At 56.2% G+C, this 13,697-nt stretch overlaps 1 protein-coding gene and 1 non-coding gene across 6 annotated transcripts in view; both read right to left on the bottom strand.

The window, feature by feature from the left end:
• The window catches only part of DNM2 (dynamin 2), a 113,825-nt gene continuing 100,211 nt past the window's right edge, over positions 84 to 13,697 (bottom strand). For 4 of the 5 annotated variants that reach the window (NM_001005360.3, NM_004945.4, NM_001005361.3 and 1 more), the window contains 6 exons: positions 11,898 to 12,007; positions 8,088 to 8,199; positions 6,766 to 6,930; positions 2,719 to 2,951; positions 1,609 to 1,860; positions 84 to 1,009 (listed from right to left, as the gene is read on the bottom strand). In NM_001005360.3, coding sequence (NP_001005360.1) covers positions 940 to 1,009; positions 1,609 to 1,860; positions 2,719 to 2,951; positions 6,766 to 6,930; positions 8,088 to 8,199; positions 11,898 to 12,007 — 942 coding nt within the window. In that variant the 3' untranslated portion in view covers positions 84 to 939. The remainder of the gene's footprint in view (positions 1,010 to 1,608; positions 1,861 to 2,718; positions 2,952 to 6,765; positions 6,931 to 8,087; positions 8,200 to 11,897; positions 12,008 to 13,697) is intronic. The other variant, NM_001190716.2, reaches the window with a different exon arrangement.
• MIR6793 (microRNA 6793) lies at positions 2,952 to 3,014 on the bottom strand. The gene has a single exon (NR_106851.1). It is a non-coding gene; the product is annotated as a microRNA 6793 (primary transcript).

The raw sequence follows: 13,697 nt of genomic DNA, 5'->3' as shown, positions 1-13,697 counted from the left end.
TTGGGCATCCTTATGGGAGGCCTGATGGAGGTGGCACCCATGTCCCCAGCCTGAACACTAACACAAGAGGCCCACACAGCAGCCACCAGCAGCGTCTTCCCTTTATTTTAGTTTATTAATAGAATACAGAGTGCAGGCACTTACAGTGGTCAAACTGAGCGAGGAGTGGGTGAGGTCTCCTCAGAGAGAGGCCGCCCTGGGCCCACCCATCAGGGAGGCATGGGCGGGAGCTGAGAGGCCCCCAAGACCCCCCGCCACCACCACCCACATAGCCCAAGCCCAGCCACCCTGGGGGACCCAGGAGGAGGAGGAGGAGAGGAATAGGGCAAGGCCGGCCCGGGCCAACGGCTCCGGGCCTAGCAAAGGCACCTCTGGCAGCCGAGGCTGGGCCAGGCTCAGGCTGTGTGGTTAATATGGCCGGGAAGGACTATGTACACCTCAGGCCTGCCAGCTGGGCACTACCGAGCCCACTGGGCCAGGCTTGCCGCTGGGGAGCTCCTGCTAATGGGAAGTTGATATACCCCTGCACCCCAGCAAGGCCTGGGGATGTAGGCGCCCTTGGTGCCCGCACTTATAGAAGGCCTGCCCTACATGGGCTTTCCCAGCCCAAGAAGACCTTGGTAGAGTCCCCCCCAGGCTGGACCCCTCATTCAGGATGGTGTCAAGGGTTCTGGTCCCCCCTCTGCCACCCTGAGACTCCATCCCCCAAAGTGCAACACCCCAGCGCCCCCTGCCTGGAGCTCCAGGGCCCCTTTGCGCAGTGCGGTGTCCAGCCAGGCACAGGGGCCGGCCCTGGACCGGGGCCAGCGTTAAGGAAGAGGCCAGGGCTGCCCACTGGGAGCCTGGTCCCAGCATAGGGGCGGCGGAGGGCCCCAGACCACTGAAGCTCCTGCGCCGCGGGTGCGTGAGGCCCCCCCGAGAGCACGCCCCCCTCGAGGCCTAGTCGAGCAGGGATGGCTCGGCTGGGCGGATAATGGTGGGCCGGCTGGGCGCAGCAGGGGGTCTTCTGCTGCAAAGAGAATAAAGACAGGTGGGGAGGGGGAGACGGCAGTGAGGCCGGGAGCAAGAGGCAGGCCTGGGTTGAGGACCCAGCCCCCACCCACACACCACCCCAGGGTGTTCCCAGGCTGACCTCCGCAAGCCACCAGGGTGTCGGGCAGGAGTGCCAAACCTAGGCATCAACTCGCCTGCTGTTTGACCCTCAGTGAGCCCCCTGCCCTCCCTGGGCCTCAGCTTCCCCACCGGAGAAGTGGGGAGAATAAAGCCTGGCCCACGGTAGGTTGAGGCAGGCAGGAGCAGGAAGGAGAAGAAGGTAAACAGTGGGAGGAGGTGCCCAGTGTGAGGGTTCCCCAGCTGCCTGGTGGCACACCCCAGTAGGCAGAGGGCAAGCTGGGAGCCCCGGAGTCACCAGGGCTCCGCTACTCTGTGACACTGAACAAGCCTCTTGGCCTCTCTGGGCCTGTTTCCTCGCAAGCCAAATAGGGATGAGGACGATTCCTCCACTCCAGCAGCTGGGCACGTAGTGAGAGCTCACTGGGAGGAAGTGAGACAGGAGGAGAGACCCCAGGGTGCAGGCAGTTGGGGTGGAGGGCAGGGGGTTGGCCTTACCTGGGCACTCCTGGGGGAATCCCTGGGGGGATCCGAACTGGCCGAGATGGGATCTGAGGCGGGGCTGGGAAGAGGTCACTGTTGGCAAACACGCTCTGGGGTCCAGGCCGGGATGGGATTGGGGGCGCCGAGAAGGAGGCTGCTGCCCCCACGGGAACAGGAATCAGGGGGGGCCCTGGAGTGGGGCCCCTCACTGCTGGGGGCCGGCCAGGGGGGTGTATGCTGGACACCGGTCGGCGCTGTGGAGTGGGGCTGTGAGGAAGGAGAGGGTGTGAGCTACAGATACAGATGGAGTAGGAGCCCCCGCCATGCCACTGTGGCTGCCAGAACCTGAGGTGGGGGCTGGCTATGGGGACAGCGCAGGCGCAGTGGGATCCTCCCACCCCAACCTGAGCGCCAGTCCCACCTTCCCTTGCCCTCGGCCCCCTCAGGCACTTCCCACTCACAGGGCCCCCTCAGGCCTTGGGCCTGGGATCCACCCTCACAGCCAAAGACACTTCCAGAGTCCTCCAGATCAAGCCCTAATATCTCTAGGGGCCGTGGAACCTGCAAGCCCTGTCCAGACATCCAGATTCCCTCCTGGGCCTCAGTCCCTGCCACCTGCAGGCCTGGGTGCGATATCCTCCCCTTAAGGAACTCCATGGCTCCCCCAGGGCTCTGCAAGGCAGCCCCCTCTGAGGTTCCCTGCCCGACGGCCTCAATGGACAACTCAGGGGCGGCAGCAGCTCTGGCCACGCCTTGCGTTTGCCCCTCCAGAGCCTCCCATCTGCCCTTCTCTGTGCTCCAGGAGGCTCATCTCTCTCCTGTGGCTGCTGCCCCTCCAGCCTCTTACCCCAGCTTCCATTTGGGCTGTGCCAATGGAAGGCACCAGCAGAGGGCAGGCGGGGTATTTATTCACAGGGTCCTGCCCTAGAGCTGTAGGGCTGGCTCGCCCCCATACCCCTTCTCTCCCTCCTCCGGCCTCAGCAGGGCAGCAGCTCCCACAGTGCCCAGCCCTGGGTGCCACCCTTGGGCTGTGTCCTGTTTCCTGCCAGGACCCTGCAGGACACACAGGGAGGGCAGGAACCTGCAGGCCGAATGCTTGAGGGTAGGGGAACCAGGCTTCCGGACCTGTGGCTGCTGGCGCTCTGGAGCCAGGTGTCATCGACAGGCGGGGGTACAGGCGTGGACACAGTGCTGGTGCTGATGTCACCGATGATGTTGAGCGCCTCCTTGAGGGCATGGTACATGCGCAGCATGTCGTCCCGCCGCTGTGCCTGGTCAGCCGACTCCTCCATGAGGCTGCTCTGGTCTGCCGAGGAGTATAGGTAGGCCAGCAGCTCGTGGTGGATGAAGGCCTTCGTCTGCGGGCAGGGGTTGGGGAGGGTCAGGCTTGTGTATCACCCCAACCCAGAACCCACAGTGACTGCTGGAAAAACATCTCTCACAGGGCGGGGCCACCCCCAGACTTTTTTGAAAAAGAGTCTTGCTCTGTCACCCAGGCTGGAGTACAGTGGCTCAATTTCAGCTCACTGCAACCTCCGCCTCCCGGGTTCAAGTAATTATCCTGCCTCAGCCTCCCAAGTAGCTAGGACGACAGGCACGTTGACACCATGCTTGGCTAAGTTTTGTAATTTTTTTAGAGATAGGGTTCCACCATGTGGCCCAGGCTGGTTATGAGATTCTTATTCAACTTATTTCTAGTATCTTGCCTCTTCCATTGATGTCTTTTCTCCTGTTTTAGCTTATTTATTTATTTCCTTAACCTTGGCAGAATAATCCTGTTATATCTTTTTTGTTTTTGCTTTTTTTTTTTTGAGACAGTCTCACTGTCGCCCAGGTTGGAGTGCAGTGGTGCAATCTCAGCTCACTGCAACCTCCGCCTCCCGGGTTTATGCCATTCTCCTGCCTCAGTCTCCCAAGTAGCTGGGACTACAGGCGCCTGCCACCACGCCCAGCTTATTTTTTGTATTTTTAGTAGAGACAGGGTTTCACCCTGTTAGCCAGGATGGTCTCGATCTCCTGACCTTATGATCCGCCTGCCTCAGCCTCCCAAAGTGCTGGGATTACAGGCGTGAGCCACCGCGCCCAGCCAATCCTGTTATATCTTTATTTTTTTGTGACAGAGTCTCACTCTGTCACCCAGGCTGCAGTGCAATCTTGGCTCACTGCAACCTGCGTCTCCTGGGTCCAAGCAATTCTTGTGCCTCAACCTCCCAAGTAGCTGGGACTACAGGCGTGCCCCCCAACCCCCGGCTAATTTTTGTATTTTTAGCAGAGATGGGGTTTCACCATATTGGCCAGGCTGGTCTTTAACTCCTGACCTCAGGTGATCCACCCGCCTTGGCCTCCCAAAGTGCTGGGATTACAGGCGTGAGTGAGCCACTGCGCCCGGCTAATCCTGTTACATCTTCCACCTGGCTTCTGTTCAAACACTACTAGTTTCTGTTCATGAATTTTATACATTGTCCTTTCTGGAACCTCCTACTGGATACAGAAGTTTTTCAGTTACTTTTTTTTTTCTTTTTTTTTGAGACAGAGTCTCCCTCTGTCACCAGGCTGGAGTACAGTGGCATGATCTCCGCTCATTGCAAACTCCACCTCCTAGGTTCAAGTGATTCTCCTGCCTCAGCCTCCAGAGTAGCTGGGACTACAGACGCGTGCCACCACGCCCAGCTAATTTTTGTATTTTTAGTAGAGGGGGGTTTCAGCATGTTGGCCAGGATGGTCTCAGTCTCTTGACCTCGTGATGTGCCCGCCTCAGCCTCCCAAAGTGCTGGGATTACAGGCATGAGCCACCACACCTGGCCGTCACAACTTTTTTTTTTTTTAGATAGGGTCTCACTCCTATCACTCAGGCTGGAATGCAGTGGAGCGATCTTTGCTCACCGCAGCCTCGATCTCCTGGGCTCAAGTGATCTTCCTGCCTCAGCTTCCCGAGTAGCTGGGCCGACAGATTTATTATTTTCTTAAATAATAAAATATTTTTATTTTATAAGAGTCTATTAAAAATGGATAATTATGTCCCATCTTTGGCTGCTATAAAACATCATGGAAAACAATAAGCATGTATAAGCTCACTTTGCACGTGGGCAATTGTCTCTCTTAGAGAAGTTCCTAAAAGTAAACTTGCAGGGTCAAAGGATATATGCATTTTAAATTTCATAGCAGAAGAACCGTATATGTCTCCGATCCTATCGGTATATGAGGAAACATACCAGGACACCATGAAACTGTGAACACTGATCACTACTGAGAATGGGAGCAACAGGGTGGGAGGGCATGGCACGTGGGAGGTGTGTGTGTGTTTTAAATAGGGATGGGGTCTCACTATGTTGTCCAGGCTGGTCTTGAACTCCTGGGATCGAGTGATCCTCCTGCCAAGCCTCCCAAAGTGCTGGGAGTACAGATGTGAGCCACCATGCCCAGCCACACCCTGTGTGGGAGTTTTACTTAGATCCGCAGGTTTCTGTGGTTGACATTCATATACAAAACCCAAGACACTTTTTTTTTGAAAGAGGTTCCTGCTCCATCACCCAGGCTGGAGAGCAGTGGCGTAATCATGGCTCACTGCAGCCTCAACCTCCTGGGCTCAAGTGATGCTCTTACCTCGGTCTTCTGAGTAGCTGGGACTACAGGCATTTGCCACCACGCCCAGCTAATTTTTAAATTTTTTGTAGAGACTGGGGTATGGCTATGTTGCCCAGGCTGGTCTTCAGCTCCTGGGCTCAAGTGATCCTCCCTCCTCAGCCTCCCAAAGTGCTGGGATTACAGGCATGAGCCACTGCTCCGGCCCCAAAGCTGGTTTATAAAGCTTCCTGAGTGGCTAGTGCCATGCCAAAGGCCTGATACACAAGTGCCCTGAGCCCTCTAGCAGCCTGAGCTGGAGATACTATCAGTACAGCTGCATTTCACTGAAGAGGAGCCCAGAGCCCTGAGAGTCTCCAGGGAACCCGGGGCCAGGCGGGTGACGCCCATGAGGAAGAGGCTGGGCCCCAGATCATTAGGACACAGCGGCTGCCCAACACAACCCAAGGGTATGGTTGCAACCAGGGTAAACGTGGGTTTGAATCCCACTTCCCACTTTCCTAAGGAACTTGGGGCAGGTTACTTGATCTCTCTGGCCTTGTTTTCTGTCTGTGAAATGGGGAAGATGGCCGTTCTCCCTCCTGCAGTTATTCTGATGCCAGCCTAAGTTAATTCAGAGAAGGCGCACACCTGCAGTGTTCACTCCAGTTAGTGGACTTGATGGGACTATGGACCCAGTGTGGCTCGGAAACCCTAGGGTTTCCCAAAGAGGATGGCCGTGCAGATTCTGGTGTTCAAAGGGTGGTGATTCATTCAAATTTGTTGTTGCTGTTGTTGGACACAAGGTCTTGCTCTGTCGCCCAGGCTGGAGTGCAGTGGCATGATCATAGCTCACTGCAGCCTCAACCTCCTGGGCTCAAGTGATCCTCCTGCCTCAGCCTCCCAAAGTGCTAAGACTACAAACAGGTATGGCCTAGGGTGCCTGGCCTCCTTCTCATTTTTTTTTTTTTTTTTTTTTGAGATGGAGTCTCGCTCTGTCAACCAGGCTGGAGTGCAGTGGCACGATCTTGGCTCACTGCCATCTCCATCTCCCAGGTTCAAGTAATTGTCCTGCCTCAGCTTCCCGGGTAGCTGGATTACAGGCACCCGCCACCATGCCCGGCTACTTTTTGTATTTTTCTCTCTCTCTCTCTCTCTTTTCTTGAGACGGAGTCTCACTCTGTCGCCCAGGCTGGAGTGCAGTGGTGCACTCTAGGCTTACCACAACCTCTGCCTCTTGGGTTCAAGCGATTCCCCTGCCTCAGCCTCCTGAGTAGCTGGGATTACAGGCGTGAGCTACCGTGCCCGGCTAATTTTTGTATATTTAGTAGAGATGGGGTTTCACCATGTTGGTCAGTCTAGTCTCGAACTCCTTAGCTCGTGATCCGCCCGCCTTGGCCTCGCAAAGTGCTGGGATTACAGGTGTGAGCCACCGCGCCCAGCCTAATTTTTGTATTTTTAGTAGAGATGGGGTTTCACCGTTTTGGCCAGGCTGGTCTTGAACTCCTGACCTCAAGTGATCCGCCCGCCTTGGCCTCCCAAAGTGCTGGGATTACAGGCGTGAGCCACCGCACCCAGCTACCTCCTTCTCATTTTTAGTTCTCCACTCACATTGTTGATCATGAGGTGCATGATGGTCTTTGGCATGAGGTCGCGGATGGACTTGTTGATGATGGCCACGTATGAGTCCACCAGGTTGCGAATGGTCTCCACCTGCCGCTCCAGTTGGGGGTCCATGGAGAAGGTGTTCTCCTGGGCCCCATCCTCGTTTTCTGCCTGCAAGCGGGAGGGGAGGTGCTGAGGGGTGACTGTGGCCTGGGCCAAGTCCTGGTTCTCTGGAAACCATCTGCCCTATTGTCCCACCAATAACTGACCTCAGGCTGGCCCCTGACAGCCCCACTGGCACCAGATAGGCCTGCTTGCCCTGGGCCAGAGCTGCCCAAACAATGGGGTGACCCTGGCTGATGCTGGGGTGGATCCCCTCACCTGGGCATTGGAACGTTGTTTTTTTGTTTTGTTTTTTTTTGACACAGTCTTGCTATGTCACCCAGGCTGCAGTGCAGTGGCACAAACACAGTTCACCGCAGCCTCAACCTCCCAGGGAGAGCTCAAGTGATCCTCCCACCTCAGCGCCCTGGAGTAGATGGGATTACAGGGGTGCGCCACCATGCCTGGGTATGTTTGTATTTTTTGGAGAGAAGGGTTTTGCAACATTGCCCAGGCTGTTTTCGAACTCCTGGGCCCAAAGGATCTGCCCACATTGCCTCCCAAAGTGTTGGGATTGCAGGTGTAAGCCACCACACCCAACCTTGGGACATTTTATTTTATTTTTGAGATGGAGTCTTGCTCTGTCGCCCAGGCTGGAGTGCAATGGCGTGATCTCAGCTCACTGCAACCTCTACCTCCCGGGTTTAAGCGATCTCCTGCCTAAGCCTCCTGAGTAACTGGGATTACAGGCACGTACCACCATGCCTGGCTAATTTTTGTAGTTTTAGTAGAGACGGGGTTTCACCATGTTGGCCAGGCTGGTTTCGAACCCCTGAGCTCAAATGATCTGCCCACCTCAGCCTCCCAAAGTGCTGGGATTACAGGGGCGAACCACCCACCGTGCCCGGCAAGGCATTTTAATATTGGGGCCAAGGGTGGCCATGTTCACTCTACCTCAGGATGGAAGGGGAAAAGAGAAGAGAACAAAGCAAGTGGGACCCCATCCCCTGTGTGCCCCGGTCACTGGCTTCCGTGAGGGAACTTTCTGGGCCCTGATGACAAAGTACCCCCAATTTCTCCTTTGCTTGCTCAAGTGGGCATCTGCTACATGATTTCAGAGACTCCTGGCTAACATGGCCTGAAAATGACCTGTCCTGGGGAAAGCCAGCCCTGCTTCCTCTCCCAGGTGGGGGCTCTGGGCCTGGCTGCGCAGGACGGCTCCTCACCTGGTCCTTCTCGGGGTAGACGCCAGCTCGGAGGAACGAGGCCTTCCAGCTGTCCACGTCTTCCTGGGAGTCACAGGCCAGCTCGATCTGCCGCAGGTCCTTGTAGACGTTTCTGCGGGGGGGTGGGGAAGGAGGGGCACAAGCTTGACCCTGCCATGGGTCTGGCAGACTGCCGAGAGGAATGGGCTCTAGGGGTCTTTCTGACTGATCAGGAACCCAAACCCAACCCAGGCTTCACCTGGTCATGCTGAGGGGTCACCGTGAGTGACGCCTACACAGAAGAGCGCTGTGCACAAGCTCGGCAAGTGTCTGAGTTTCTTTGTTTCTGTTGGATCAGCTGACTCTTCTCTTTTCCTGGGCCCCCAGAGGTGGGCATGTGACCCTCGACACCAACTGTGGCTGGGAAGCTCCCACTGGGGCATTTTCAGGAAAGCCCAGAGCAGCACTGTCCACCAGAACTTTATTATTATTATTATTATTTATTTTTTTTTTTTGAGACGGAGTTTCGCTTTTGTTGTCCAGGCTGGAGTGCAATGGCGCAATCTCGGCTCACCGCAACCTCCACCTTTCGGGTTCAAGCGATTCTCCTGCCTCAGCCTCCCGAGTAGCTGGGATTACAGGCATGCGCCACCACACCTGGCTAATTTTAGTATTTTTAGTAGAGATGGGGTTTCTCCATGTTGGTCAGGCTGGTCTCGAACTCCTGACCTCAGCTGATCCGCCCACCTCGGCTTCCCAAAGTTCTGAGATTACAGGTGTGAGCCACTGTGCCCGAATGTGTTTTGTTTTGTTTTTGAGACAGAGTCTTGCTCTGTCGCCCAGGCTGGAGTGCAGTGGCGCGATCTTGGCTCACTGCAAGCTCCGCCTCCCGGGTTCACACCATTCTCCTGCCTCAGCCTCCCGAGTAGCTGGGACTACAGGCACCTGCCACCACCCCAGCTAATTTTTTGCATTTTTAGTAGAGACGGGGTTTCACCGTGTTCGCCAGGATGATCTCGATCTTCTGACCTCGTGACCTACCTGCCTCGGCCTCCCAAAGTGCTGGGATTACAGGCGTGAGCCCCCGTGCCCGGCCTGTGTGTTTTTTATAAAAAAAGTTTTGGCTGGGCACAGTGGCTCACGCCTGTAATCCCAACACTTTGGGAAGCTGAGGCAGGAGGATCAACTGAGGTCAGGAGTTTGAGACCAGCCTGGCCAACATGGTGAAACCCCGTCAATACTAAAATACAAAAAATTAGCTGGGAGTGGTACTGCATGCCTGTAATCCCAGCTACTCGGGAGGCTGAGGCAGGAGAATCGCTTAAACCTGGGAGGTGGAAGTTGCAGTGAGCCAAGATTGTGCCACTGTCTCCAGCCTGGGCGACAGAGTGAGACTATGTATCAAAACAAAACAAAAAAATTTTTGTAAAGTTTAGGCATGGTGGCTCATACCTGTAATTCCTGCACTTTGGGAGGCTGAGACAGGGGGATTGCTTGAGCTCAGGAGTTGGAGACCAGCCTGAGCAACACAGCAACACCCCCATCTCTACAGAAAATACAAAAATTAGCTGGGCATGGTGGTGTGCGCCTGTAGTCCCAGCTACTCGGGAGGCCGAGGCGGGAGGATCACTTGAGCATGGGAGGTGGAGGCTACAATGAGCTGAGATCATGCCACTGCACTCCAGCCTGGGTGGGTGACAGAGGAAGACTCCATCTCAAAAAAAAAAAAAAAAGAAAAAGAAAAAGAAAAAAGAACCAGGGTCTCAAAGCTGGGAGATAAATGGAATGGATGCTAAACAGTGCTTGCAGATGGTGGTCTACAGGCCAGGCCCCGTGCCACATGCCACGCACATTTTCCTGTCCCACATCCAGGTGTGGTTAAGACAGCCAAGCTGCCCACAAAGCCTTTAAGTGAGAGTTGGGTTTGTGGTCAGCAAGTGGCTGCCCCGAACGACCTCTGGATGAGGTTGTGTGGGGAGAGGCATGCCCTTGTAGCTCCTCCTCTCCTTCCTGCTGCTGCCTGGGACATCATCACAATGGCTGGAGTCTGGGCAGCCATTTTGGACAAAGAAGTAGAAGTCGGGGTTTTGGGCCAGGTGCAGTAGCTCACACCTGTAATCCCAGCACTTTGGGAGGCCGAGGTGGGTGGATCACCTGAGGTTGGGAGTTCGAGCCCAGCCTGACCAATATGGAGAAACCCCGTCTCTACTAAAAATAAAAAATTAGCCAGGCGTGGTGGTGCATGCCTGTAATTCCAGCTACTTGGGAGGCTGAGGCAGGAGAATCGCTTGAACCCAGGAGGCAGAGGTTGCGGTGAGCTGAGATCGCACCATTGCACTCTAGCCTGGGCAACAACAGCGGAACTCCGTTTAAAAAAAAAGTCAGGATTTCATGGCAGGCCTGTCCCACCGCAGAGCTCGGCTTCTGCATATCAGGTGGAATCCTGAGGAACATGCAGGGCCTGGACCCTGATGCCTGTGGAGCTGCTCCACTTTGCCCGGGATACTAAAGTCTGGACTTAATTTACACAAAAAACTATCAACCATCTTATCTTGTTTTTGCAGCTACTACTCTGGGTTTCCTGAACCTGCTCTTAAAAGATATATCAGATAATATTGTCACCCTCCCTGTACAGGAGGCACACGGCTCAGGGACCTGGGACAGCTGCCAGGTGTCATATGGCCAGGGGCAAGCCTAGAAGAGCTATGAAGGTTTTCACGGCCAGCTGGTGGACAAATGGGTCTCGAGCTTTAGGCCAGCCAGAGCAAAGCAGGAGGGAACCAGGAGACTCAGCTGGAGTTGGTGGGTGTAGCCAAGCAGTAGGCAAGGAGGTTCTGGGGCCAGCAGGGAGGACGTCAGTGCCTGCCTACAGGTCTCAGGGTACCACCGGGCCTTTACTGACAGCTAATCCCTGACTCAGGTGGGCCCTGCTTCCTGGATGAGCGTGATTGTGTGAGCATGGGAAGAGCCCTCCTGCCAGCTGGGTTTCTTCCTGAGAGCAGTGTCTCTGCTAAAGTCTCCAGCTACGCCTCATGGGACAGATGTACTGTGAGCTTCCTGGGGCCTCCCATTCTCCAGCTTCACTCTCCTGGGAGCTCATCTGGTTTCGTTCCTTGAAATACCATCCACGCAATGGTGACTGCCCAGTTCACATCCCAGACTGGAGCTCGTTCCTGGACATCACACTCCTCGATCTACCCAGGTGCCTCCCTGATGCACCCTCTCCCTTGGCATGGCCTAAATGGAGCTCTTGGCTGTCTCCAGGCCTACCTGCCGCTGCCTTCCCCACCTCGGCCAATGGCAGCAGCTGGGCAGTGCAGGAGCTCAGGCCCACGTACTCAGGGTCACAATTGGTGCCTTTCTCTCTCATATCCATGCCCACCAGGGCTCCGCCTGACTCTTCTACCCAGAATCTGCACCCTCCTTCCCTATGGGTTCTGGCCCCATCATCGCCCACTTGGACAAGGCAGCGGCCTTTGCCCTCGTCCCCCATCTCTCACCCTCTCATACTGTTTCCCTCTCAGCCACCAGAGGGCTCCTGCAAGCACCTGAGCCAGGTCCTGGTCACCCTGTGCTCAGAACTCTCCATGGCTCCCACTGACTCGGAGCCTGCCTTCATCCTCATCTCTGCCCAGAGAGGTCATCTCTGACCCAGCACGGGAAGCATCCCTGGCATTTGCTATTTCTCACGTGACTCCCCTTTCTAAAAGCTGGGTCCCAAGGGCAGGGACTGCTGACAGCCAGGTGCTCAGTGCTCAGTGAAGGTTGTGGAGTGTGAATGAGGCCATTGGTCTTCACCCCGAGCCATCCCCAGGCCCCTGGGCCCCTCACCTCTGCTCCGTGTTGAAGATGGCGAAGACGTGCTTGTTGGACATGAAGCCCTTCTCCACATCACGGATCTTGAGGTTGTCCAGAGGCAGCATGTACTTCTTCTCTTTCTCCTGAGGGTGGAGGGAAAAGAGTCACCCTGAGCGGTCCACGTGACAACTCAGGATGCCCCAGGCCAGAGCGTGTAGCATGCGCCACCACCAGCCCCGGGGGCTTCTCAATGCTGGTCGCTGCTGTATATGAGCCCATCTGCCGGCCCTTCCCCGTCCGTCACTCTGTCCCAGCCACGCTGCCCTCCATGATGCTCCCTGAGTATCCCACCTGGGTTCCTACCCCAGGGCCTTCGGACGACCGGGCTACTGCCTGATCCTGACACTTGCATGGCTCCCTCCTGCCCTAACTCTACCCGCACCCTCCCCACCTCCATCCTCCTTTTCCCTCACACAACACGTCACGTATCCTGCGCTTGTTGACCTAGGTGCCTGACTGCCTGTGCTTATTGACCTAGGTGGCTGACTGCCACTGGACTGACTCAAGTTTCTCCAGGGCAGGGACTCCTGTTGAGTTCACTGCTGACATGTGGCTGACGGCACGCACAACACAACTGCCCCTCGCCTTGCACGAAGTGAATGGAACTTTTATCTGGGCTCCATCTTTGAAACGAGCCTAGGAGTGAGTTACCTCTGTGATGCCATTTTACAGAGGGGAAGACTGAGGCAGAGAGGAGCAGGGCTGGGATTTCAACCTTGGCCGCTTTAGGACATCTTGGGGCTGGATAGGTCCTGGGCCAGGTGCTGCAGAAGCCTTACTCCCTTTCTTTATTATTATCATTATCATTATTTTAATAGAGATGGGGTCTCGCTATGTTGCCCAGGCTGGTCTTAAACTCCTGGGTTCAAGCGAGCCTCCCAGAGTGCTGGGATTACAGGTGTGCACCACCGCACCTGCCCTATCACTTGCTTTCTAAGGTTGGCCCTGTTCAGGAAGCACCAAGTGCCAGCCACGGCTGTCCAGACTGCTAGGGAGGCAGCTCAGAGGTGGGCCCCTCGGCCAGGGGCAAGGGGCTGGCGAGTCACGGAGCTGGGGGTGGCACCCTGGAGTCCCACACTCACCCAGTGATGTGTGTGCCCACCCGCCACAGCAGCAGCTCTTGGGGACCCATGCCATGCACTGCTTGGTCTCAGTTCACGGATCCCTCCTAGCTCAGAGAGGGAAGCTGGCTGCCGAAGGCCACACGGCAGGCAGCGCAAGCCACAGCAGGACTTCAGAGGCCAGGTCTCTGTGACCCAAAGCCCAGTCCTCCCCACAGTGCCCCTGGCCCTTCTTCTCCCTGGGCCGTCTCTGGAAACTCCTCTCATGTCCCCTCACTGCGCTGCCCCAGCACAAAGCCTAACCTGGCTGCCGCCTCCAAGTTCAGGAGCAGCCACAGTGACTGTGGAGAAGGCAGCGGGGGCTCCCTGGCAAGTGGGGGCCAGCTGGGACTGTCAGGACTTTGCAAGGGGAGCCAGGATGAAGCAGTGGGCTTGGCACATGGGCTCAGCCTCAGGGCGTTAGGAGCTCAGCATGGTTGAGGTGATGCCAGCCCTGCCCTTTCCTGGCCGTGTGCCCTCGGGCAAGCCACTTCCCCGCCACCTCCCATTTCATCTCAGTTTCCTCATCTATCCAAGGAGGATGGAGGAGCTTGGTGCCCACTGCAGAGCTGGTGCCCATGAGCACCCGGGATTTTCTTTGGTTGCTCTTGTGAGCGGCTCCAGGATTAGCCTGCCAGGCTCTAGGCAAAGAAGTAGGGCAGAGCATAGGAAG

The sequence above is a fragment of the Homo sapiens genome, chromosome 19 (genome assembly GCF_000001405.40).
Source record: "Homo sapiens chromosome 19, GRCh38.p14 Primary Assembly".
NCBI lineage: Eukaryota > Metazoa > Chordata > Mammalia > Primates > Hominidae > Homo > Homo sapiens.
The sequence above is the reverse complement of the archived record's forward strand: the minus strand, read 5'-3'. Positions and strand labels throughout refer to the sequence as shown.